This window comes from Homo sapiens, chromosome 2, assembly GCF_000001405.40.
Source record: "Homo sapiens chromosome 2, GRCh38.p14 Primary Assembly".
Lineage (NCBI taxonomy): Eukaryota > Metazoa > Chordata > Mammalia > Primates > Hominidae > Homo > Homo sapiens.
Genome location: NC_000002.12, coordinates 45,249,255 through 45,258,096, shown reverse-complemented (window position 1 = coordinate 45,258,096; position 8,842 = coordinate 45,249,255). Strand labels below are relative to the sequence as shown.

The 8,842-nt window shown below is 45.2% G+C and overlaps 1 long non-coding RNA gene across 1 annotated transcript in view, besides 2 other annotated features; it reads left to right on the top strand.

Moving 5' to 3' along the window:
• Positions 372-944: an enhancer, noted in NCBI's record as "H3K27ac-H3K4me1 hESC enhancer chr2:45484292-45484864 (GRCh37/hg19 assembly coordinates)". NCBI's record gives its function as "activates a minimal SCP1, AML or CMV promoter by ChIP-STARR-seq in naive and primed H9 embryonic stem cells {active_cell/tissue: H9 hESC(naive and primed)}" and the evidence as "EXISTENCE:reporter gene assay evidence [ECO:0000049][PMID:30033119]".
• Positions 945-1,518: an enhancer, noted in NCBI's record as "H3K27ac-H3K4me1 hESC enhancer chr2:45483718-45484291 (GRCh37/hg19 assembly coordinates)". NCBI's record gives its function as "activates a minimal SCP1, AML or CMV promoter by ChIP-STARR-seq in naive H9 embryonic stem cells {active_cell/tissue: H9 hESC(naive)}" and the evidence as "EXISTENCE:reporter gene assay evidence [ECO:0000049][PMID:30033119]".
• The window catches only part of LINC01121 (long intergenic non-protein coding RNA 1121), an 80,601-nt gene continuing 74,914 nt past the window's right edge, over positions 3,156-8,842 (top strand). Inside the window, exon 1 of the long non-coding RNA NR_033831.1 lies at positions 3,156-3,430. This is a non-coding gene — a long non-coding RNA (long intergenic non-protein coding RNA 1121). The remainder of the gene's footprint in view (positions 3,431-8,842) is intronic.

Genomic DNA, 8,842 nt, shown 5'->3' with positions numbered 1-8,842 from the left:
CCAGAATCTGTTTCCCCAGCCAGGCTGGACAGTGAGCGGCCTTCTTCCCCTTCCACATCTTCCTTGGTTTTCCTTTACCAGCCTAAAGGATCAAACTCCTGAGACATGGGCCAGGGCCGCTTGCTCGGCCCCTCTTGTGCCCTCAGCCTTTGAGCCGCTGGACCATGTGACAAGATGCCCAGCATTAGCGTCTGCTAATTAATCCAAAAGCTGGCTCCCCGTTGGCCCATAGAGTTTTACAAACCTGAATTAAACGAAGTGTTTATGTGACAGATATGTGGGAGGATTTCAGATATAATCACCATCAATCTGGCTGCAGCCAAAATAAATTCTGTGAAAAGTAAAACAAACTATTGCACAGACAAAGTAGGCCTTAGGGGTCTCCAGCAATAATCTGTGTTTTCTTATTTAGCTGTGTCTAATATTTCTGCTCTTTTCAAAGTGGATAGGATCTGGGCACACAGGGCACTCTTGCTGCAGCTGACAGAGGTGGACACACGCTCCCTCCCGCTGAGCGGAGGCAGAGGGGAAGGGATGTTGCATATTTACATTTAAATTCTTAGTTCAAATAAACCAGCTCTGGCTAGGCAAGGGGGAGGGGAGGGAGCTCAGCTGTCAGGTCCAGGCCTGCTGCGGTCCCCTGTCCTCCAGGCTGCCTAGGCTGGGCTGTGGTTGGGTCAGGCAGGAGGAGGTCAGAGACCTGGTCATCCAGAGAGCGCTGGCGAAGGAGCCCCAGGACACCGGGGAGGCTTTGGGAGCTGCTCTCCTTCAGTTATTTCAGCACTCCTGCGAGGAAAGAGTGAGGAAGCCCTGGCATAGTAAGAACTTGCCCAGCTCTGTGGTGAGGCTGGAGTTTGATCCTGACTCTGAAAGCCCGTGCCGCCTCTCCCCACAGTGCCTTGGTAAACGGAGAGGGACTAGACCCAGACATTCCTCTGGGTAAGAAGCCTTTCAGCACCTGGGTCGGCCTGGCCCAGCCCAGCTGCCCTGCTCCATGTTCCTCCCGCTTCCACAGCGGGAGCTGCTCCAGGCTCCTCTCCTGCCATGGCTCCGCTTGTCCCCATTTCCCAGCCTAGGCCTGAGCTGCAGTTGGGGATGCTGAGGGTCTCCAGACTTGGTCTCCTGAGCTGCCTGTCCCACTCTTCAGGTAACTGAGCACAGTGCTAGCCTGGTTCCTGAGCTGCAGCTCCTGTTCCTGCTGCGTCCTGCCCCCACTGGCCAGCCTAGGGCCTCAGCCCCACAATGGCCAAGACTCCAGCTTGCTCCATTCAGACGTCTGGCTGCTTGAAGCCAGCCTCTGGCTTGGCATCCTTGCTGAGATTCCACAACTTCTGGGCAACCCTCTCTTCCCCCACCACCTCCCCCCACATCCCTATCCCACTGCTCAGAGTCCACTTGGCCGAGGACTAGAAGAAGCCATGCCCAGTGAACTGAATATCTGTTGCATCAGACTGCTCCTGAGGCCCCGTCCTGGCTCCTGCGCTGCTGCATTTGTAGACCTGGGGCTACATCATGTCCCTTCCTTAGCATCTGGAATTGCTGTGTATAGAATGCTCAGTGCTATTCCTTACTGCTCCTGAGATGTGAGAGCCGCCCTGAACATCTAACCATGTTGGGTGATTCTTTTTTTTTTTTTTTTTCCATCTGCCTCTCTATTTCTGTTTGCAGGAGCCTTATTTAGAGTTAAAGGGCCCAGGCCCAGGGGGAAAAGATCAGTGACTCAGGCCACAGCTGTTCCTTCTGCCCTGGACAAAGGCAACAGAGTCCCTGCTCCCTGACAACCCCATAGCACCAAAGACAGTCTTGGTTCTATCACAGTTTAGCTTATTCGCACTTGGATAGACCAGAAAGAAAACTTCTATATGAAATAAAATTATGTTGTAACTTTGCAGACCATTCATTCAGTAACGTTTATTGAGAGTCTACTACATATCAGACACTATTCTAGGCCTGTAGGGTACATCAATGAATTAAAAAATCCCTGCCATCATAGAACTTGCATTCCAATAGGTATGAACAGATAATAAATAGCAATCATAAAAAATAAAAACCGCATACAGAAAGCAAAAAAATGCCATAGAAAAAACAGAGCGGCCTAAGAGTGAAGGAAAATACTGAAGTCGGGGGTGGGTTACATGTTCAAGGAGGGTGTTTGGAGCAGGCCTTATACAGAAGGTAAGGTTTGAACATAAACTTGAGGGAAAAGAGGAAATTAGCCATGAGGGTATCCAGGAAACGTCATTCCAGGGAGAGGGAACAGCCAGTGCAAAGACCCCAAGGCACGAGTATGTCTGGCATGTTTAAGGAACAACAAGATAGCCGGAGTGGCTAGAGGGAAGTGAGCAATGAGGGAAGTAGAGGGGGGTGAGGTCAGAGAGATCACAGGGGCCAGATTCATATATGGCACTGCAGGCACTGTAAGGGTTTTAACTTTTTTATGTTCCTACTTCAGCAAATTAATAAAGATCAGCCTCTCTCCTTAGTCAAGCTAGAGTTCAAGAAATTCAACAAGAATTTCTTGAATTTGTATGCCAAGCCCTGAGCTCACATTAATGAGCAGAATATTCTCTGCCTTTACGAAGTGCAAGTTTGGATCCAAGTGTTGGCAGCAGCATGTGCAGAGGAAAGGGGTACAGGACCAGGGGTTAGGAGACCTGAATTCAAGGCCTGCCTTTCCACTTTACCTTGACCATTCACCAAACCCTGGCTTTCTGTCACTGGAGATAATTACTTATGCCCTGGTTACCTCCTAGGTCTCCTCTGTCCCTTCCCTTGGGTCAGGTAGATGGAGTCCTTGTTGTCATCTTTGCATGCTCACTGCTCTCCCTGTGACCTCATTGGCACTCACTTTGCCTGGTGAGAACCAGCGTCTGCCATTTATTCATATCTCTAGCATGAAAAACACATCCAGGGGTGTCTGCTTTGCAAAGGAAATTTACCCATTCCTTCTATTTCATGCCTTCCTGATCAGATAAAGCTGCATTTGGTGCTAACTTTTAAGTCAAGTATGCAAGACTCCAACCAACAATAACAAAGACAGGCCCACAGGTTGCTGAACCGGGTGAGCTTTTAAAATGCATTCAGAGAGTGTGAGGTTATTAATAAGGAGACAAATATCTCATTTCAGGCTACAAAGCAGACCCCACAGTGGGGCATGGAAATGCTGGGCCCTTCGAGGTTAGCTTAAACTGAAGAGAGGAACTTGGTTAGAATACAGACATCTCTGATGCTGTGTCCCGGATGTTGAGCTTCCAGCTCTGATGGCACGTTCTGTCAACTCAGCTCTGTTTTGAGTGGAACTGAACACTCAGTGATGGCTAAAAACAGCAGTTGACTAAACTAATTAAGCTACATGTAGACGGTGACGGAGGCGGAAAGATAGGCCGAGACAGGCCCTTTGGAAATTATCCTGAGCATTCTTCTTTTACAGGTGAGGACACCAAGGCCTGTGGGTCACATTGTGATTTTGTGATAATGATGAGACTGAAGTTTCAGTTTCCTGGTTCCCACTCCAATGTCATTTTCACCATGGGTACATTTGCCTCCTCTGGAGTCTCAGTGTTCTCAATGTCCTTTCCTATCTGTGTGACTATGGTCTCCTGGGCCCAGAACTAGCAGAATGGACACTTGGAGATTTTTGGGGGTACAGTGATGGAGATGGACTCTGTTGGTCACAGTGGAAAGGACATTAGCTAAGGAACCTGAAGACCTGGGTCCGAGGCCTGGCTCTGCACTTATTTCCTGAGTAACGTTTATTTTTTCGTCTGTTTTTTCAACTGTAAAACATGAAGTATAGTTAAGAGAATGTGTGCTAAGGAACTCTGAAAACTGAAACTACACATGCAGATTTTATGACCATTATTTTCCATCTCTCTTTCCCAGATTCCAACGTGGTGTTTGTGAGGTCATGGCTCTTAATTAGAGGTGAGGTCTTGGACCAGGGGATGTGAGAAAGCCGGCTGTCCTCAAATGGGCCCGACATGGGACCCTGGCCTTCATGGTCATCTACGCAGGGCTTCTTCTCCCGCTCACTCCCCACTCTCTATCACACCCCCAGCTTGACAGCCTCGCCAGCTTTCTCAGCAGTCCTCAGGTACTCCCCGCCTTCAAGTTTATCCTTATACCTGGAAATTTCTCTTCTTTTCTTGGGGGAACTCCTCCTTTCCTTTAACATGTTAGCATTCCTTCTTCACTAGGACTATTTCCTACTTCCCAGGACAAATTAGTTGCCATCTCCTCTGTGTGGTGGTGAAGAGAATGAACTCTAGAGCTAGACCATGTGGGTTGAAGTCCCAGCTCTGCCACTTACTAGGGGTTTGCCTTGGGCAGGTCATTTAGTCTCTCTGTCCCTCAGCTTCCTCACTGATAAAATGGGGATAATAAAAGAATCTATATCATAAGGTTATTCTGAAGAGTGAACAGTATAAGTTAAAGCATTTAGAACAATGCCTGATTCATGACATGTGCTATTTAAGTATTTTCTGCTATTATTATTAGAGTACTTAATATATCTTATGCAATATAATATAATAGATCACATATCTGCCTTCCCTACTCAGACTAATAGAGCCAGACGAGAGTCTTATTTTTCTGTTTTCTTAGTGCTTAACATCATGTCAGGAACATATTAGGTGCTCAATAAATGTTTGTTGGATAAATAATTGGGTACAGTGTACATGGTCAAGTGTGTGACATCATTCATGTCAACTTTTTCCCAGTAAATTTCGTGGGACAAACAGTCTATACCTCCGTGGCTTTGTATGAATCATTGTGGGATTTAAAAAACACTCAAGGCATTTTGTTTAAATAAATAACAAAAGAAAGTTGTCCTGGAATTTTAAACAGTAGAACTATAATATGAAAACAAGTGAAACTCATTTGGCAATAAATTACCACTTGGAGTAGTGGTCCCAGTTACACTGTTCTTGACATGGTTTCAAGAACAGAGTCAGGGCTGGGTTCTGTTTGAAGAGTAATTTTTAAAAAAGAAGATCCCCCCAGGTTGCTGGGATCATATGGTGTGATTCAGTACAACAAAGGGCTTAGACAAGTGGACACGGCCCCCAGAAGGGGACAGGCAAGCTAAGCAGATGCGGCGTGGGGGTGAGGTCACGGTGGAGTTGGGGTTATAATTTCCTGGAAGAAGTGGGTTTTAAGCCACTGGTTCCACTTCTGCTCTTAACCTAATTGCTGGGTACAATATCCTGAAACTGACACCTAGCACACTGCCCATCTGCCAATTTGGGTTTAGGGTGAGAGTACTATGGGGTAAACAACTATTATTTTCTTAATTTTCCTGTTAAGAATTATATTCTTATATATAATTATATTCTTTATTTTCCTATTATATTCTTAATTTTCTATTTCCAATTATTTTGTGAAATACAAGAAAAGACAATTCCGTCAAGGGATTGTAGGGCCAATTTCAACCACATTCTCTTTTACCAATAGTCACTGGTGAAGATAATAACCTAACAAATGATCACATTTGATGATATCTAGATATTGGCTAAGGCAATGATGTAAAGATATGTATTTATGAATATAATACGTACATGCATATTATATTGTATATGCATAAAGTGATATTAATATTTAAACAATTTAAATTAGGGATGGATAATCAAGCATGTCAACACACTCCCTTCCCCTATTTTATAACATGATTTTCAGGCCAATAGACACATGATAGGAGCCATCTGATGGGCTAGTAAATGGTATGGTAAACTGTCTGCAAAGATGATTGCCAACAATTCCTCCCCTCTCCGGATGTGCATGTTGGGCCTTCCGTTAAGAAGTGGAGTGTATCTCTCCTCCCCTTGAACCTGGCTGGCTTTGTGATTTGCTTTGGCCAGGAGAAGTCTGCTTGTAAGAGACCATTAAGAAGCCTGACAGCTCCCACTTTCACTCTCTTAGAGCCTTGAGCCACCAAGTGAGGAAGTCAGACCACCTTGCTGGAGAGGGGGCGTGATCAACCCCCTGCCATTCCAGCCTTCCTAGCCAAGGCACCAGACATGGGAGTGTGAAGCTGTCTTGGATCCTCCAGTACCAATCATGATCCCTCCTTAATAACACTTGGAAAGAGATGACCTGTCTCTCACATACCCTTTTCACATTTCACCACCATGAGTAACTGGTTGTTGTTTTGAGCCAGTACGATTTGGAACATTTTGTCACACGGCAAGGCATACCTGAAAAAGGGATAGTACTGATCTACACTAGTGTCTGAGATCTCTTCCTGTGTGGTCTCCTCTTTGGATCAGGATGGGCTGGGGACATTCTTGAGTGCCTGTCTCTCCCCGTTGTTCATGGCAGTCACTGCTAGTTGATCACAGCTCTCTTTCCCATTCAGCCCGATACTGGCTTAAACCTCACCACAGATCTCTAGACAATCACTGCTAAGCCGCTGAAGGAGGTTCTTGCCATTCTAGGATTAACCATCATGTTCCCAGAGTGTCTATCAATGAAAGGAGAAGGAGGTTGGTATACCCTAGTTATACATTAGCACCCCCTAGAATCATGGAATGTAAAAGATGGTGGAACTTCAGAGATCATCTCACCCAATGGCCTGAATCCTGGCTGCAGATTAAAATTACCTGGGCTGCTTTAAAAATTGAACTGACGCCTGGGCCTCACCCCCAGAGATTCAGACTCAACTGGGCCTCAGTATTTTAAAATACATATATTCTTTAGTAGTGAAGACATTTGACCTCACAGGTTAGGGCCTGAAGGCACAGATTACAAGTGGCTGAACCTTGCTACAGAGACCAGTTTGGTTGAGGAATTATTTTGAGGGTTCTTAGAATATCACGGGCAGACCATCCAAAGACTCTGAACACCAGAAGGAAAAGGGGTGTTCCCAAAGGGAAAATGAGAATTCTGACTGGGGGAAAGAAGATAAGGACAGGCACCCAGCAGAGCCAACTCCTAAGTCTGGAGATGGACATCCTTTCCTTTCTGTCAGGAAAAGCCGGCAGCTGATCTGTGAGGGCAGTTTTTGATATACGGCTCCAGATGTGAGGGGAAGGTATGCTCTGTGGTTTGAGACTTTTTCCTGTGGAGAATTTCTTAAACCTCAGACCCGACTGTCAAGAAGCACTGAGACAGAGTATGGCGTGCAGGAGAGACGTGTTTGACACAGCGGGGTCAGGAGAGTTCAAGGCGCCTTCTCTCTGGGTAAGTTTGGCAGGAATGCTAAAACACAATGAGGGGACTGGAAACCTCATGACAGTAAAATTTTAAGGCTTCAATTTTTGGTAAAATATGACTTGCTGTCAGGTATATGAGTTGGTAGCTTTGATGCAAATATGTAATAAATCTCACCTCTTTACTGAAATCCAAAGAGATTTTCTGCATATAAATAAAACCATGAGTGCGATAAAATTGCTTTTGATCACCTCACATGAAAGGTGTGAGGAATGTTCAAACTGTTACCATAATTAAAGGACTGTGGGATGATAAAAAAAATCTTACTTGAATATCTCTCCTCCCACCCTCTTTTAAAAGGCATTTCTGGAGAAAACCAACCCTCATCCATTTTGGTATTGTTTTGACCTTAACTTTGTAGTTTTAAGAAAAGTTTCACATTTAGTGACAGCAGGAAAATTGTCCTGCAGTTGAAAACACTACAAACTGTGAGTGACACTGGAATTTGCAAAAATGAACCAAGTTTCTCTTCACAGCCTCAGCAGAAACAGATGACTTCTAAAGAGAACTCAGTCTTGTTGCCAAAGGAGTTGTCTGGGGATCTTCTTTCCTTTTCCTGGTCTGGATATCCTGTCTGTAGGTCATGGTGGGAAGTCATCTTTGCCTGACTTGTTCTATTGGTCTTTTAAAAACTACCTTAAAAACTTTTGATTTTTCTAGACTTTCACTGGTCTTGAGAAAATTATCTTTTGTATTTGCTTTTTATACTAATCACAGTATTTTTATTTTTATTTTTTTTGGAGACAGAGTTTCACTCTCGTCACCCAGGCTGGAGTGCAGTGGTGCGATCTCAGCCCACTGCAACCTCCGCCTCCCGGGTTCAAGCAATTCTCCTGCCTCGGCCTCCGAAGTAGTAAGGACTACAGGCATGTGCCACCATGCCCAGCTAATTTTTTTTGTATTTTTTGATAGAGATGGAGTTTCACTATATTGGCCAGTCTGGTCTTGAACTCCTGACCTCAGGTGATCCCCCTGCCTAGGCCTCCCAAAGTGCTGGGAATACAGGTGTGAGCCACCACGCCTAGGCCTAATCACAGTTTTTATTCCACAATCATGGGCTTACAATGGTAGAGAGATCATTACTCAAGCAAATGCTCCCATCTCCTCGCACAGACATTAGAGTGTCACGGTGGCTGCCTCACTGGTCACCATGGCTCCATCCCACTTGCTCCCATTCATCCTGTGTGGTCTCAGATTTAATTGTCATAGCAGGGATCTGCATATGTCACTGCCCCACTCTGAGTCATTCCGAGATTCTCCTTTTCTAACCAAATGAAGCTCAAACCCCTTCCCTGGTCTTCAAGACTCTACAAACTGGTTCAACTTTATCTCTCGCACTCACCTAACTTGAAACCTTGGATCCAGCCTTCATGTTGTATTCCCACCTGTTCCCATTTCTGGCACATTGATGTTCATCCTGCCAGAAATGTCCTCCTCCCTCTAGCACAACTCCTGAAAGGTCCATCTCACTTCCGCCTCCTCTGGAACACTTTCCTCAGTTACTCCATCCAGCTCCCTTGAACTTCAGTGGGAGTTATTTGATACTTAGCCTATATACTGACTTACATGTTTATTTCTACCTTTTGTGTGTACCTTTTTTTTTCCTTCTAGATGGTGAGATTTCATTCATTTATTC